This window comes from Homo sapiens, chromosome 9 (assembly GCF_000001405.40).
Source record: "Homo sapiens chromosome 9, GRCh38.p14 Primary Assembly".
NCBI classification, from domain to species: domain Eukaryota; kingdom Metazoa; phylum Chordata; class Mammalia; order Primates; family Hominidae; genus Homo; species Homo sapiens.
This window is the reverse complement of record NC_000009.12, coordinates 95351683-95369230: the sequence shown is the minus strand read 5'-3', so window position 1 is coordinate 95369230 and position 17548 is coordinate 95351683. Positions and strand designations below refer to the sequence as shown.

General features: G+C 42.0%; 1 long non-coding RNA gene across 1 annotated transcript, besides 1 other annotated feature; it reads left to right on the top strand.

Annotated features, from left to right (window-relative positions):
• Window positions 2126–13923, top strand: LOC105376155 (uncharacterized). Its single transcript, XR_930133.3, has 2 exons — window positions 2126–2366; window positions 13016–13923. It is a non-coding gene; the product is annotated as an uncharacterized LOC105376155 (long non-coding RNA).
• Window positions 2130–2424: a silencer, noted in NCBI's record as "tiled region #1060; K562 Repressive non-DNase unmatched - State 21:Repr". NCBI's record gives its function as "represses a minimal TATA promoter and a strong SV40 promoter by Sharpr-MPRA in K562 cells {active_cell/tissue: K562}" and the evidence as "EXISTENCE:reporter gene assay evidence [ECO:0000049][PMID:27701403]".
• Window positions 13924–17548: the final 3625 nt, after the last annotated feature.

The window sequence follows — 17548 nt, the reverse complement described above, 5'->3', positions numbered from 1 at the left end:
CCAGAGCAGGAAGCAGCCGGCAGTGGTGGGAAGCACTGAAACAGCTTCGGGAGGTCCCACTGTCTCGCCTGGGGAGTCTCTTCAGATTCAGGCCTCCAGTCCCTCCAGGGAAATCTGAGGAGCTGTCTGGCCTGGGTGATCACTGAGGCTCCCTCGCAGTCCGTGAGCCTATCTAAGAAAAAGCCTTTTGCCAATACGAATAAAACAACCAGCCTAATTAGCGAATGTTCACAGTTCAGACAATTGCCGCCTCTGGGCTGTGTGCCCCTCTCCTGCCGTCCACTACCCCCTCCGGGAGGCGGCCCACCTGCTGGTGCGTCTGCATTGGGCCCTGCCCAGGGCTGGTGTCCTGGTACTTCTCCCTGTCTCCTCACACCTCCTCCTAACTCTGGGACAGACAACGCCAGGCGGCACTGCATGAGTTTCGTATTGCAAATTACCACACAGCGGCTTAAGAACACAAACTTACTTTAAAGCTCTGAAAGAAAGTCAGAATTCCAAAAAGGATCTTGTGGACCTAAAATAAAAAGTGTCCAGAGAGCTGTGTCCCCACCTCTAGATGCCGCCTGCTCTCCTGGGCTCGCAGCCCCACACCATTCTGCCCTCTGCTTCTAAGAGCGCATCTCCCCTCAGACGCTCACCCGCCCACCTCCCTCTAGTGAGGGGCCTTGTGATTACAGTGGGCCCTCCAGGTAACCCAGGAGAATCCTCCCGTCTAATCACATCTGTAAAGTTGCCTTTGCTGTGGAAGATAACATAATCACAGGTTCCAGTGATTTAGTCATGAACATCATTGGGGGGCCATTATTCCACCTATGACACCTACCTAATGTCTATTCTTCCCTTCCTTCTAACAGAATCATTATTTTGTTCAGGGTGACAATATGCTTGGCTAAAGAATTTTTTTTTTTTTTTTTTTTTTTGAGGCGGGGTCTCGCTCTGTCGCGCAGGCTGGAGTGCAGTGGCGCGATCTCGGCTCACTGCAAGCTCCGCCTCCCAGGTTCACGCCATTCTCCTGCCTCAGCCTCCCGAGTAGCTGGGACTACAGGCACCTGCCACCACGCCCGGCTAATTTTTTGTATTTTCAGTAGAGACGGGGTTTCATCGTGTTACCCAGCACAGTCTCGATCTCCTGACCTTGTGATCCGCCCACCTCGGCCTCCCAAAGTGCTGGGATTACAGGCGTAAGCCACCGTGCCCAGCCAAGAATTTTTATTTACAAAGCTGCCTTGAAGCTTCCTGCAGTCATGTGGCTGATGAGATGTTAGTAGACGTCTGCTGGCCAATGAGAAGTAGGAGTCTGGCTTCCCAGAAGGCTGCTGTTTTCCCAATTAAAAGATGGAGACTCACTTGGCATATACCTTTTGTTCTCTCTCATGACCTCTTCATCCTCATGGAAAATGAACGTGATACCTGGAAGGGCAGCCACTATATTGTGACCTTGACAATGAAAATCACTCAAAAAAGATGACGAAGCAAAGAAAAGTGGATAAATCTGCAAGGAAAAGTGGACAGCTCCACCATCCCTGAGACACTGTGGAAAAGACTCCTTCTTCCCTGTCTGCCAAGCTTCAGATTTCTAGATTCATGAAAACGGAGAAACTTTATTTATTTATTTATTTAAGGCAGAGTCTCGCTCTGTCACCCAGGCTGGAGTGCGATGGTGTGATCTCGGCTCACTGCAACCTCTGCTTCCTGGGTCCAAGCCATTCTCCTACCTCAGTCTCCTGAGTAGCTGGGATTACAGGCGCCCGCCATCACTCCCAGCTAATTTTTGTATTTTTAGTAGAGACAGGATTTCAGCATGTTGGCCAGGCTAGTCTCAAACTCCTGACCTCCAGTGATCCACCTGCCTCGGCCTCCTAAAGTACTGGGAGTACAGGCGCATGCCACCACACCTGGCTAATTCTTGTATTTTTGTAGACAGGGCTTAGCCATGTTGGTCAGGCTGGTCACAAACTCTTGACTTCATGTGATCCTCCTGCCTTGGCCTCCCAAAGTGCTGGGATTACAGGCATAAACCACTGCACCTGGCCTGGGAGGAACTTTTAATTGTGGGAGGCTGGTAGTCAGTTAAATGCAGCGGAAACCAGTTATAACAGATGCAAGCTCTGTCTAAATCCTCACTACTTAAAGCGTGCTCCTGTGGGAGCAGCAGGGACAGCCCCTGGGAATGTGTTGGAAATGCAGAATCCAGGGCCCCCCACAGACCTGAACCAGAATCTGCATTTTAACAAGATCCCCAGGGAATTGCTCTGTATGCCCTTCGGAGTCACCACAGCTCTGGAGCCCACAGAAGCTGAGAGGGAAAGTGCCCTGGATTCCTTCACCCTGTGCTTGAAGACACGGCCTGTCTGGCAACAATAGTAAGTACTCTTGGAATTTACTGGAACGAACGTCAAACCGTGGGAGGTGGGTGCAAAATTGTATATACAGTCGTCAAGTCTGCTTCTCACCCCACCACCACCAATTACCCTGATTTAGTTCTTTTCTTTTCTCCCTAAAATTGTATATTTCATGATTAGTCAGCCTAAGACTCCTACATCCATTTCATTCAATCAAGACCAACATTGATAAGAAGTTGAAGACCGGGTGAAATCAGGAAAAAGTGGAAAATTACCTCCTTTTAAAAGTTTCTTAAAACTTTTAAAAACTTTTGGTGGTTTGTAAATAGACCTGAAATTTCTTTGATGCTATCAGCCACCCAGATGAATGAAGTGCAGTATATAAAGCCCCCGACTTACGATTCAACTTGGGATTTCTTTTGACTTTAAAATTTTTTGACTTTATGACTTTAACCCCATCGTAAGTTAAGGAACATCTGTAAATATATAAATCCACAGAGAGGAAGAAAGATCCAGAGAGCCTTTCAACACACTGCATTTCTCATTTCCATTAAATCCCTCAAGTTATACATTTAATATGGACTGTAAATTGTGTACTCATTTTTCTTCAATGATTTCTATTCAGAATATTACAAAGAAAGAGTTAGATTAAAGCCCAGCTACTGTTTCCTGGGGACTGGAGGGGACGTCAGGGAAGTGAGTAGATCATCCAGCTGACTTTGCCCTCTTGTTCTGGGAGGGTTTTTAAATTTATTTTTTAAATAGGTAAATCCAAAAGGTATATAAGCATATATATAGACAGTGAAAAGTCTCCTTTTCCTTCAGTCCCTCCCTCCAACTGCCAAATTTCCCTCTCTCAAAGCAACTCTGTTACCGGTTTCTTGAGAATCCTACCACGTGAGCACGCTGCATGCTGGAAGAGGCTAAAACATGTGGCTGAAAAACAAGAGGGGAGTGTGTAGACGGCTTGGAATTGTTCTTGAGGGCATGCATTAAAATTAATCTTTGTCATCATCCAATTGCTTTCTGTTAAGATCTTCTGCTGGCATTTAATTTTTCCAATCATAGATAAAATATCTGTCAAGTAAAGAGCCAGAGTTGCCACCTACTTGTTCCAGAGGATTAAGGAGATAACGTTTATAAAACACTTGGAGCATCTCAGAGGAAGGCTCTGAATAAACAGAAACACTTGTTAAAGCTGCAGCCCTCTTCTACATAATTTACATTTTATCACTCTGTCCTCACCCCCAGCCCACTACATACTTGCCCCCACCTCCTTGCAGCACGGTTTAAGGGTGAGAGGTTAATAAGAAAGGGTGATTGATGTAAGGCAAGACTAAGTAGACTGCTTTGAGGATTTTTGCTTTGTTTCCTAAAGCTTCCCAACTCGTCTGCTCTTTAAAGAACCTGGAGTTTTTTTCAAAAAGAGAGACACCTAATTGCATAAGTCAACTTTGTAGTTGTGTGGCTTTATTTAATAATTCAAATAATTTAAGAATATTTTCTTTTTTTAAAAAATGGATAATTTACATCCTTTCTTGTTTCACTTATTAATATGTTATGAGCATTACTGTTGTGAACAGCTGTGTTGATATAGCATGATTATTTGAAAAATAAGAAGTGTTTCTGTAATTAAAGATACCCATAAGGAGACTTGGTTCACATTTATGCAGTAAATTGATATATGCACGTTCAGGGCCTACTATGTGCTAAAACAAAAATGGACACCACAGAGATACCTAAGATGTTTTCCCTGCCCAATACAAAGCCCTCGGTGACAAGTGTGAAATTGGAGGATTCAGAGGGCATTTTCTTGCACCTGACAAATAAGGTTGTTTGCTTAAATTGCTGCACTTTAGGAAGACTTTGTTTTGTCCTAGATCACTTTGAGTACCCCAGTGGTCTTATAGACAAATGAATAGACTTTTCTAAGAGATAAAAGCCCCCACATAAAGATTCTAGGAAAAAATATGAAACCATCTCTGGGAAGGGATATAAAAATCATAAGTTACTAAAGTAGATAGAAATAATAGACTATCTACTATCTACTACTAAATATAATAGAATATTTAAAAGTATTTCCCTTTTAAATATAAAATCTTTAATTGTAAAACTGTTGGGCAAAGAGCTGAATGATGGTTTAAGCCATATGAAAGGCAAGTCTGCAGATCAGCTAATTATTGGCCAAAACGATAATTGCCCTGTACCTTCCAAATTAAAGGACACAGCCCATAAAGATAGTAGTAAGAGTTTATGTTTCCTTCTCCTTAATCTTGTACAAGAGTTAACCTCCTAGACCCAAGACATTTCCAGCAATTAGTGATGGGTTGAAGTTAACAGTGCTGACAAAGCCTTGGTCACTGATCCCTTCGGCTTGTCATTAACCTCTAAAACTGCTAAATATGATGCAAAAAAAGTATTTCACCAATATTATTTAAAAGACTGTATCATATTTCATACATAAATTTCCAATGTAGAAAAATCTCTTACAATGTATATATGTGTGCAAGGTAGTTTAAAGGTTTTTTTAGTTTTTTATTTCCAGAATTTTCTTCCAGTATAAAAGAGTAATTTGAGGTAAATATTCTATGTATATAGGGAAGGAAAACTATTACTAAGATCAGGCATTCCAAAATGTTTTTCAAAGAAAAGGGTTATAAAATTCACTTTAAAAAACGGGAATCTTTGTTTTTGCCTATTAGCACTTTGAATGAATTTATTGAAAGTTTTAAGCAGAGTGAAAAATTGGATCATAGGTTAGTGTCCTCTTGAAAATGGTGGTGTATGTTTCTCATACTCTTAAAAGAACAAAAGGTAAAATATCATTGAAAGAACACAAACATAGCCCCATTTATTATTATAACTACAAATCATATTTTCGTAGTAACTTGTTCTGATTTAAGAATTTTCATAAGAAAAGATATGAAGTCTCAATGGATTGTAATGTTACTGACTCTATTCAACATGTAATAAGCTTTACTCTGATTTTATATCCTGAGTCCATAAAGCTTATTAAATGACACTTCAAAATTTCTTTCAATGGTGGAAGCTTTGGTTAAGTGAAAAAGCCTGTTGGGGTTTTCCCCCTGTAGTTTTCTAATTAGGGCTTCCTTATTACATCACAAACATTAATCACCACATTATCCAGTAACAGATCAGACTTACCCTATCTTTCAGATCCTCATTAATCTACTAGTAAAGTTATGAGCTCCATTAACATGGTTACATTTAGAAAGTCTCCCTGAAGCACAGTACATCCATTACTGGGGCTGAATAACCCAACAGCTATGTGTCTTATCCAGTCCAGATACGTTTTTGAAATGTCAACTTTGACAGAGAAACTTTCTGTGCACCCCCCACATAGGAATCCTACAGAATATTTGCTTTATTTACTGCTTGGGGTACTATTTTAGCAGAAGATAAATTCTCCGAGCAGGATCAAGTTTGCATTTTGCAGAGACGGAGCCATCTGTTGTTGTCCAGAGCTTGGCTGTGTTCCATTTGGAATGCAGGGCCAGCCCCGGTTAAAAAAGAATGTGAACTCTTCCTAGTGTGATCACCCCCACAAACAGAGAGAACGCTGCAAGTTCCTTGCAATCCTAAACCAGCCAGCACTTCCTGAACACCTGCCCTGAACACAAATGTTCCTTTGGTGAGTGACAGTGAAAATGACAGGGCGTCAAGTTCACCTGGCCATGTCCACATCGATGAACCAACCTGGCCAGTAGACGCAGAGCCCACTGTGGTTCTGCAAGAGCACACATCGGGGAAAGGTGCTCTGGTGCGTTCACACGGTCTTCAGATTGCTCAGAAAGGCGTATCATTTTCTAGATTTAGGGAGTGTGGGCTTTTATTTCAGAACTTTACAAAAAGAAGTGTCTAAGTCTCTCAGCTTACCTTGGAGTTGAATTTATTGCATTCATGGCTGGATTTGTCAATTACTGTTTGCTTTCCGTCCTTCCATAGGGTGCTATATAGACGTAAGCAAGCCATTTCCTTCTAGAGGATGCAAAAATGAATAAACAGTTAACAACGTATGCTACATACATATGGCATTTATCATCAGACTCATTTAAGAGAACCTAGATAAATAGAAAGACACTCTTTTTTTTATGAAGAGGGAGTCTCACTCTGTCACCCAGGCTGGAGTGCAGTGGCGCGATCTCAGCTCACTGCAACCTCTGTCTCCTGGGTTCAAGCGATTGTCCCGCCTCAGCCTCCCAAGTAGCTGGGATTACAGGCACCCACCACTATGCCCAGCTAATTTTTTGTATTTTTAGTAGAGACAGGAGTTTCGCCATGTTGGCCAGGCTGGTCTCAAACTCCTGACCTCGTGATTCACCCACCTCAGCCTCCCAAAGTAGGCATGAGCCACCGCACCCAGCCTAGAAAGATACCCTTAAGGAATTTTAAAATATTAGAAAATATTTTCCTGAGGAGAAACATGTTGAAGTCAATGAATATTTTGTTCAAAATGTCAAATGGATAAGACAAAATTCAAAGATAGACAAGGTGAAGGAAGGGAAATACCAATAAAAAAAAGAAAGTCTATTAAAACAAAACTCAGGAGACTTAAAAAAAAATTTCAAAGATTAGAAATTACGTATTTGTGAGCAGAGTAATGTGGTTATCAAATTTTTCTGCAAAACAATCTAGTTTTGGAATTTGAGGACTGTGTTTCATTCTTTTTTTTTTTTTTTTGTAAGTCGGAGTCTCGCTCTGTTGCCCAGGCTGGAGTGCAGTGGCCCAATGTCGGCTCATTGCAAGCTCTGCCTCCCGGGTTCACGCCATTCTCCTGCCTCAGCCTCCCGAGTAGCTGGGACTACAGCCACCAAGCCCGGCTAATTTTTTGTATTTTTAGTAGAGACAGAGTTTCACCGTGTTAGCCAGGATGGTCTCGATCTCCTGACCTCATGATCTGCCCGCCTCAGCCTCCCAAAGTGCTGGTATTACAGGTGTGAGCCACCACGCCTGGACTGTGTTTCATTCTTGAGGTCAAGGACATCCTATATCATTTAGTGAGCTTCATGCAAGAAATGGTAAGGGAAAATGAAATAAGCCTGGAAATAAATGAACAGTGTCCTGGTTTCAGATAGGTGCTTTTTCAGTCGTTTATGATATTCTTGTAGAGCTCATGGAAAACTGAGGCCTGAGTAATAGTACAGTTCTGTGGATTTATAGTTGATTAAACCAAGAGGTCACAGAGACAATAGATCAGTGTTACATGTCCAGGAGAGCTCTAGGGCTTTCTATGTGACTTTGCAACAGAGAAACATGCTTCTCAGATTTGTAAGGTGTGTAGAACTCAGGATTCAAAAAGATCTCTAGGCTGGGTGAGGTGGTTCATTCCTGTAATCCCAGCACTTTGGGAGGCTGAGATGAGAGGATTTATTGACACCAGGAGTTTGAGACCAGCCTGGACAATAATATGAGACCCCCATCTCTAGAAAATTTTTTAAAAAATCTGTAACGACTGTGCAGATGAATGGAAATCAACAAAATGAAATTGAATGTAAATAAAAATAGAAACCTGCATTTAGGTTCAAAAAGTCCACTATAAAGTATACAACCTGGCGTCAGAAGTTTATATGGGAAGACAGACACACATACCTCAGGTGCTTTAGTTGATTTCAAGGCAGAATGAGTCAGGAGTCTGTGAGCCAGAGAATGAACTAGCTAATGAGATCTTAGTTTGTATTAACAAAAGGATGGCATCCAGATCAAGAGAAATCATCATCCCCACAGACGCTTCCCTGGCCAGGCCACATCTGGAGTTGCAATTCCATGTGCCACCCTGGGGAGCGCAGGCTGGGCCGAAGGGTAATGGAGAACAGGCAGAGGTCAGCGACGAGGGAGGTCGAGGGGACAACTTGCAGGGATGCTGAGAGAAGCTGGCTAATGAGAATCTAAGTCTTTGAAAGCTGGGACTTTCCCTTAACAGGGGCCCAGGCTCATTTCTTCCAGGCGAAAGGTGGAATGTTAAAGGGGCTAAGAAACTTTAAAATAAAAGAAATTCACCGTTATGCCTCCTACCACTCCAACACAAGTAAAAAATAACCTGCTATAGTAATTAAGGGGTTTCTTCAACAAATAAGTGGCATGAGGAAGAAAAGGGGAACCTGGGATGGATTTTCAAAGAGGCTTTAGAGACTTAACCACATTTATTCTGTGGGCTTTGTTAATTTTTTTTTTTTTTTTTGAGACAGAGTCTTACTCTGTCACGTATGCTGGAGTGCAGTGGCGCTATCTCAGCTCACTGCAACCTCTGCCTCCCACATTCAAGCGATTCTCCTGCCTCAGCCTCCCGAGTAGCTGGAATTACAGGCGCCTGCCACCACCGCAGGCTAATTTTTTATATTTTTGGTAGAGACAGGGTTTCACCATGTTGGCCAGGCTGGTCTCGAACCCCTGACCTCAAGTGATCTGCCCGCCTCAGCCTTCCAAAGTGCTGGGATTACAGGCGTGAGCCACCATGCCCAGCCTGGCTTTGTTAGATCTTGATTTCAACAAGATCTACCTGGTAAAAGAAACACTTTTTGAGATAATCAGGGGAAAGATTTTGTAATAATAGCTTTATTGAGATACAACTCACATGCCATAAAATTCATCCTTTTCACAATGTTGGGCACCATTCACCACTATTTAATTCCAGAACATTTTTATCATCCCAAAAGGACACCCCATAGACATTAATAGCCACTGCCCACACGCCTCACTCCAGCACCTAGTAAGCATTCATCTTTTCTCTCTATGGGTTTGCCTCTTCTGGGCACTTAATAGAAATGGCATCATGCAATCTGTGGCCTTTTATGAGTGACCTCTTTCACATTGTCTAATACTTGCAAAGTTCATCCATGCCGTACCATGTATCAGTACTTCATTCCTTTCCATGGCAGGATACTATACCATTGTGTGGAGAGACCACACTTGTTTATCCATTCATAAGTTGTTGGACATTTGGGTTGTTTCTACTTTTTGACTATTATGAATAATGCTGCAATGAAAATTCACCTACAAGTTTTTGTGTGGACATATGTTTTCAGTTATCTTTAGTATATGCCTAGGAGTGGGATTGCTGGGTCATATCCTAATGCTACGTTTAACATTTTGAGGAATTGTGAAGCTGTTTTTCCGAAGAGGCTATGCATTTTGCATTCCCACCAGTAACGTGTGAAGGTTCCTTTCTCCACATACTCGTCAACACTTTATATTATGACTTTTTTATTACAGCCAGTGTAGTATGAAGTAGTATCTCATTGTGTTTTTTGTTTGTTTGTTTGTTTGTTTGTTTTGAGACAGAGTTTTGCTCTTGTTGCCCAGGCTGGAGTGCAATAGCGCAATCTTGGCTCACTGCAACCTCCACCTTCCAGGTTCAAGCAATTCTCCTGCCTCAGCCTCCCAAGTAGCTGGGATTACAGGCATCCACCACGATGCCTGGCTAATTTTTTGTATTTAGTAGAGACAGGGTTTCCCCATGTTGGTCAGGCTGGTCTCGAACTCCTGACCTCAGGTGATCCACCCGCTTCGGCCTCCCAAAGTTCTGGGATTACAGGCATGAGCCACCGCGCCCGGCCTCATTGTGGTTTTTATTTGCATTTATCTAATGACTAATAATGTTGAGAATCTTTTCATGTGCTTATTGGCCATTTGTCTGTCTTTAGAGAAATGCCTGTTCAAATAATTTGCTTGTTATATTGGGTTATTTGTTTCCTTATTATTGAGTTATAAGAATTATTTATCTGTTCTAGGCCAGGTGCGGTGGCTCACACCTTAATCCCAGCACTTTGGGAGGCCAAGGCAGGTGGATCACTTGAGGTCAAGAGTTCGAGACCAGCCTGGCCAACATGGTAAAACCCTGTCTTTACTAAAAACACAAAAATTAGCCGGGTGTGGTGGCCCGCGCCTGTAATCCAAGCTACTTTGGAGGCTGAGGCATGAGAATCGCTTGAACCCGGGAGGCAGAGGTTGCAGTGAGCTGAGATTGTGCCGCCGCATTCCAGTCTGGGCAACAGAGAGACTCTGTCTCAAAAAAAAAAAAAAGTATCTATTCTATTCTGAATCCAAGTCCTTTATTAGATATATGATTTGCAAATATTTTCTCCTATTCTATAGGTTGTCCTTTTACTTTCTTAATGGTACCATTTGAAGCATAAAATTTTTTAATTTTGATGAAGTCAAATTTATCTAAATTTTCTTTCTTCATTTGTGCTTTAATTTAGATTTCTATAATTAGATTTTTAAAATAACTTTTCATCTATTAATTTAATGTAGTTAAATATATGTTACTACAACTATGAAATAACCCTTGTGTTGTGGTTGCAGAAGAGATGTTAAAATGCAGTACACTTAATTTTATTAAGGTAAATTAGGACTGCCTCCCATGGTAAAGATGCGTAACCAGTCTGTTACAATTTTTAAATCCACATTATACCATCAGTTCAACTATCACAATAACGTAGTCAAGTTTGGAAGGTAACGGAACCCCCTGAAAGTCACTGTGTATAGTAATATGCATCATTTGAAAATTCCTGGGCCGGGTGCGGTGGCTCACGCCTGTAATCCCAGCACTTTGGGAGGCCGAGGCAGGCAGATCACCTGATGTCAAGAGTTCGAGACCTGCCTGACCAACATGGAGAAACCCTATGTCTACTAAAAATACAAAATTAGCCAGAAGTGATGGCGCATGCCTGTAATTCCAGCTACGTGGGAGGCTGAGGCAGGAGAATCGCTTGAACCCGGGAGGCAAAGGTTGCAGTGAGCTGAGATCGCGCCATTGGGAGTCTGAGAGAGAAAGAGAGAGAGAGAGAGAGAAAGGAAAGAAAGAGAACTCCCTTGCCTCAAATTTTACAGAACACAGTTATGCTCATGAGTAAGGAAAAAATGTTGCTTCTAAAATCATCCTCAACATAGTCTTAACAACCTGGTAAGGTCATGTGCCCTTCCTCCAGCCCCGAGTAGGGGTACTAATTAGAATCTGCAGAAGTGAGAACATGTAACTTGGAAAAAAAAATCAGCACTATTTATTTGTAAACGAAAACAAGGGCTGGGTGTGTTGGCTCACACCTGTAGATCCTAGCACTTTAGGAGTCCAAGGTGGGAGGCCAGGAGTTTGAAGCCTACCTGGGCAACATAGGAAGACCCTGTCTCTGCAAAAATTAAAATATTTAGCCTGGCATGGTGGCATGCACCTATAGTCCTAGCTACTTGGGAAGCTGAGGAAGGAGGATCGCTTGAGTCCAGGAATTGAAGATTGCAGTGAGGTATGATTGCTCTACTGCACTCTAGCCTGGGAGACAGAACAAGATCTTATCTCTAAAAAACAAAACAAAACAAAACCTCAAATATATAAGGTAAAGTTCAATAAATGTCTTTTAGGCTCTTAAGAAAAATGTATTAGAAATGACAAGGTTTGGGCAGGGAAGGGTGTGGCTCACGCCTGTAATCTCAACACTCTGGGAGGCGGAGGTGGGCGAATCACCTGAGATCAGGCGTTCGAAACCAGCCTGGCCAACATGGTGAAAACCTGTCTTTACTAAAAATACAAAAATTAGCCGGGCATGGTGGCATGCGCCTGTAATCCCAGCTACTCGGGAGGCTAAGGCAGGAGAATTGCTTGAACCCAGAAGGTGGAAGTTGCAGGGAGGCGAAGGTTGCAGTGAGCCAAGATTGCGCCACTGCACTCCAGCCTGGGCGACAGAACAAGACTCCGGCTCAAAAAATAAAATAAAATAAAATAAAAAATTAGCTGGGTGTAGTCATGCACACCTGTGATCCCAGCTACTCGGGAAGCTGAGGCAGGAGAATTGCTTGAACCCGGGAGGCAGAGGTTGCAGTGAGCCGAGATCGCGCCATTGCACTCCAGCCTGGGCGACAGAGCAAGACTCTGTCAAAAAAAAAAAAAAAAAAAAAAAAGAAAGAAAGAAAGAGAGAAAGAAAGAAAGAGTAAGAAGAAAAGAAATGGCAGGGTTTGGGGAATGTGGTGAATTTTCTATTTCTCCAAAAAAGATATGAGTTTAAAAATATTGAGAAACAGTGTAACAGTGGATTAGATGATTAACAGTACAGAGAGTCAAATCTCAATGCTCCTACCCACCATTTAAAAATGTTTAAATGTCTTTAAATAATAGATACTTTCAGATAGTATTGCACAAATAAGTATATATGGAGTAAAACTTGGTTTCGTCTGATAATCAGTGTCCTCATATAAACTCAATTCCATAATCCCTGGGTCATTATACATAACTATACACTAAAAATTACATAATACTTAAATACCTGTATTAATCTTAATTAAATCAGTAATTCATCATCACATAACAAGTAGTTTTTAAAAAGTAATTACTATAACTAATTGCTCTGCCTTAACTTTGTTCCAGGAATGATTTTTGCTTTCACCAAACTGAAATTCACATGGATCAAAATCATGATTATTTATATTTGTCCAAAGTTTCCAAAGCTGTATCTATTTTCTAGAAGTAGCTCAAGCTCTAAATTTTCATTAGTTTTAAAAGAGTATGGAAAAATCTAAGAAATGACCCTCAAAGACATGAAGTAAAAAGTAAAAATCTTTTATTTTTACATAAATAATTATATGAGGCATGACACAAATCACTTCCAATTAAATATGCTGATTAATATATTTTAATTTTTGTTCTTTCCTGAAACCCCAGTAGAGTAAAATAAATTAAACATGGAGAAACCCAGAAGAAAAAAAGAAAGCAGAGAAAGCAACAGCAGAGAGGAGATCTCAGCAAACTTTGGAAGTTGACAGGAAAATCAGTGGATGGCCAGAAACCAAAACTTTACACTGACGGGAAGATCAGAAGAAAGGAACAGATTTAAACTACTCAACTCTGGGACAGCTCAGAAGTGAGAGGTACTGGGTAAGCACTTCAGAAGCATAGGTGCAGGGTGGAAGTAAAAGCAAGAGGAAAGTTGATGGTGCTTGTAAGAAACAGTCAAACCACCATGCTGCACTCCTCCCCTGGCCCCCCAAACAACCAGGAATTACCCTGCCCCTCCACAAGTGAAAGCCAGGGTTGAACTATTATGGACTCTAATCTTTGAGCTACTCGCTCTGATTTAGGGCAAGATAACATTCTGTACTAAAAACTCAAGTGGAAACCTACACACTGAACTTCAGATTTCCAGCCACAATTCTCTCCCACTCCCACCATGCCATGTATCTGCTCAGATCCCGTTACACTGGCAGCCAGGCATATACTCCCAGGCAGGAGCTAAGACAATGCATCATTACTGGCAAAGTAACCAGCCCCCTCCTCCCCGATTCTGTAGATACTGGTATTTGGAGTTCTCCTGCGAAAAGGCCAGGGACATCTAGCACCACCCAGCGAGACCTACTCATTGACAGGTTCCACCCAGGTAGGCAGAATTTCCAATGAGCTTTTAGTGCTTGGAACTTAAATATGAATAAACAAAATCATCAGAAATTTGAGGGAAGCTTTTTAGCATGGAAAACAAAAAGGGAAACAGAAAAAAGAAACTCAGAGGAAACAGATAATTCAAGGAAGAAGAAAACTTCAAAATTAAGGTATCATATCCATGAAGAAAAACCAGATTATAAACATGAACATTTAGAAAGCCAAAGAAGAGCTTTTGGAAATAAAATACGATTGCAGAAATTAAAATTTTAACACAAGGGCCAGGCGAGGTGTTCATGCCTATAATCCCTGCACTTTGGGAGGCCAAGGTGGGAGGACTGAGCCCAGGAGTAAATCCAAGACCAGCCTGAGCAACATAATGTGACCCTGTCTCTGCAAAAAATAATTTTTAAAAATTTAGCCAGGCATGGTGGTGCATGTCTGTAGTCCCAGCTACTTGGGAGGCTGAGGTGGGAGGATGTTTGAGCCTGGGAAGATGAGGCTTCAGGGAGCTGTGATCACCAACTGCATTCCAGCCTGGGCAACAAAGTGAGTCCCTGTCTCAAACAAGCAAACAAAATTCAACACAAAGTTCAGAAAATAAAGATGATGAAATATCTCAGTAATTAAAAGGAAAATGTCAATGAGGCAGAAAATTGGACAATAAATTATAAGATAAGTAGAGGTTCATTCATTCATTCATTGAATGCCTACTATGTGCTAGATATTATTCACAATATATGAGTGAACAAACCAACAGAAGATCCCTGCCCTCAAGGACTTTACATATTAACTGCAGAAGTCAGAAAATAAACAATAAACATAATAAGTAAATTACATAATATGTTAAGAGATAGTGCTTTGTTCAAAAAGAAAAAAAAAGCAGGGAAAGGGGATTGGGAGTGCTGAGAGGGTTTTGTGGTTTGTTTTTTCCATTTTCTGTCTTTCTGTTTTGTTTTGGTTTTGGGTGTGTGTTTGTTTGTTTGTTTGTTTGTTTGTTTGAGACAAGGTCTCACTCTGTTGCCTAGGCTGAAGTGCAATGGCAAGATCATGGTTCACTTGACCTCCCAAGCTCAAGTGATCTTCCTGCCTCAGCCTCCCAAGTAGCTGGGACCCCAAGCACACACCACCATGCCCGGCTAATTTTTTTATTTTTCACAGAGACAGGGTTTCTCCATGCTGCCCAGGCTTTTTGATAAAAGCCATTTTAACTGGGATAAGGTGATATCTCATTGTGGTTTTGATTTGCATTTTCTGATGATTAGTGATATGGAGCATTTTTCATATACCTGCTGTCTTTCTGCATATCTTATTTTAAGAAATAAAAAATATTGGCTAGGCGTGGTGGCTCATGCCTGTAATCCCAACACCTTGGGAGGCCAAAGTGGGTGGATCACGAGGTCAGGAGATCAAGACCATCCTGGCCAACATGGTGAAACCCTGTCTCTACTGAAAATACAAAAATTAGCTGGGCTTGGTGGCACGTGCCTGTAATCCCAGCTACTTGGGAGGCTGAGGCAGGAGAATCGCTTGAACCAGGGAGCCACAACACTCCAGCCTGGCGACAGAGCGAGACTCCGTCTCAGAAAAATAAAAATAAAAAAAATGGACAGGCATGGTGGCTCACACCTGTAATCCCAGCACTTTAGGAGGCCGAGGTGGGCAGATAGCTTGAGCCCAGGAGTTTGAGACCAGGCTGGGCAACATGGGGAGACTTTGTCCTACAAAAATACCCAGGCATGGTGGCATGCACCTGTAGTCCCAGCTTCTTGGGAGGCTGAGGTGGGAGGATCACTTGAGCCTAGGAGGTCAAGGCTGCAGTGAGCTGTGATCGCACCACTGCATTCCAGCCTGGAAGGCAGAGCAAGATACTGAGAAAGAAAGAAGGAGAGAAAGAGGAAGGAAGGAAGGGAGGGAGGGAGGGAGGGAGGGAGGGGAAATGTAAACTCTGAGGTTAATTTAAAATAATTATATAATTATATTGGGAGGAAATGTGTAGTTTTGTGTGGAAGAAGTGAGTATGTGGGTCTGCGTGTGTAAGACAGACAGCAACAGAAAATGAGCTTGCATATTTGTATATCGATATGTTTAAGTCAATAGATAATATCTTTAATGGAAAAATTGAGAAACAACAGTATAAATATAGCATTTACAGATATGATAGTAAATACCAGACCAGCTAAGAGTTGAATATTGTTGTCTCTGTAGAGCAGAAGACTGCTATTTTTATAGTAATTCTTATATTATTTGTTGTTTTAAACAATGTGCATGCGACTACTTTGAAATCTTTAAAACTTAAAAAGTAATATGGCTTATTTTAGAAATATAAAAGAGAAATAAAAATGAAATCAGTACACTGAGATTTTCTATTATATATCCTTGAAACCATTACCATTTTCTTTTCCTGCTTTCCATTGGACACTTTGAGATTTCCTTGGCTGGTTGAAATTAGATGGTATTTTTGTTCATGCAATGGTTGTCCTTATACTCATTCACCCCTCATGATTTCTTAGGTGTATAACACCTGCTTCTTCCCCTAAAGAGACTGGTCTTCTAAGCTGAACTTACTTCCCACATTCCCAGTCCTCATTATGTCAATATCATTCAGATATTTAGTTGTGTTTTCTTTGGTCCTATATTTTTCTTGAAGCAACAAAAACCTGTATCAAAGTATTTGATCATTGGCAGGGCATGGTGGCTCATGCCTGTAATAACACTTTGGGAGGCCGAGGTGGGTGGACCATCTGAGGTCAGGAGTTCCAGGCCAGCCTGGCCAACATGGCAAAACCCTGTCTCTACTAAAAATTCAAAATAAATTAGTCAGGCATGGTGGCGCACACCTGTAATCCCAGCTACTTGGGAGGCTGGGGCAGGAGAATCGCCCGAACCCTGGAGGCAGAGGTTGCAGTGACGAGAGATCGCACTACTGCTCTCTAGCCTGGGCGACAGAGTAAGACTCCATCTCAGAACAAACAAACAAAACAAAAACAAAGTATTTGATCATTGTTACTTCCTGTCTCATTTGCAGTATCTTTTTCAATATGTTTACTGTCTTCTTTAAGTAATTTTTTTTTTTACCATGGGTAGTGCTTGGTTTATTGGTATTAAAAATAGTTCTTATGTACATAACAAGCTGATATAAAGGCACTCTTTTTTTTTTTCGAGATGGAGTCTAGCTCTGCTCCCCAGGCTGGAGTGCAGTGGCATGATCTGGGCTCACTGCAATCTCCGCCTCCCGGGTTCACGCCATTCTCCTGCCTCAGCCTCCCTAGTAGCTGGGACTACAGGTGCCCGCCACCACGCCAGGCTAATTTTTTGTATTTTTAGTAGAGACGGGGTTTCACCATGTTAGCCAAGATGGTCTCGATCTCCTGACCTTGTGATCCGCCCATCCCAAAGTGCTGGGATTACAGGGGTGAGCTACCGCACCCAGCCTGTAAAGGCACACTTTATGCCGGGAGCGGTGGCTCACGCCTGTAATCCCAGTACTTTGGGAGGCCGAAGCTGGCAGATCACTTGAGGTCAGGAGTTCAAGACCAGCCTGGCCAACATGGTGAAACCCCGTCTCTACTAAAAATACAAAAATTAGCAGGGCGTGGTGGCAGGGGCCTGTAATCCTAGCTACTTGGGAGGCTTAGGCACGAGAATCATTTTTGGCATGAGAATCATTTGAACCTGGGAGGTGGAGGTTGCAGTGAGCCAAGATCTCACCACTGCACTCCAGCTTGGGTGACAGAGGGAGGCTCTGTCTCAAAAAAAAAAAATTTTTAAATAGAAGTTAAAGTATGGATTACATGGAATTTTTTTTCCTGGAAGCACTTA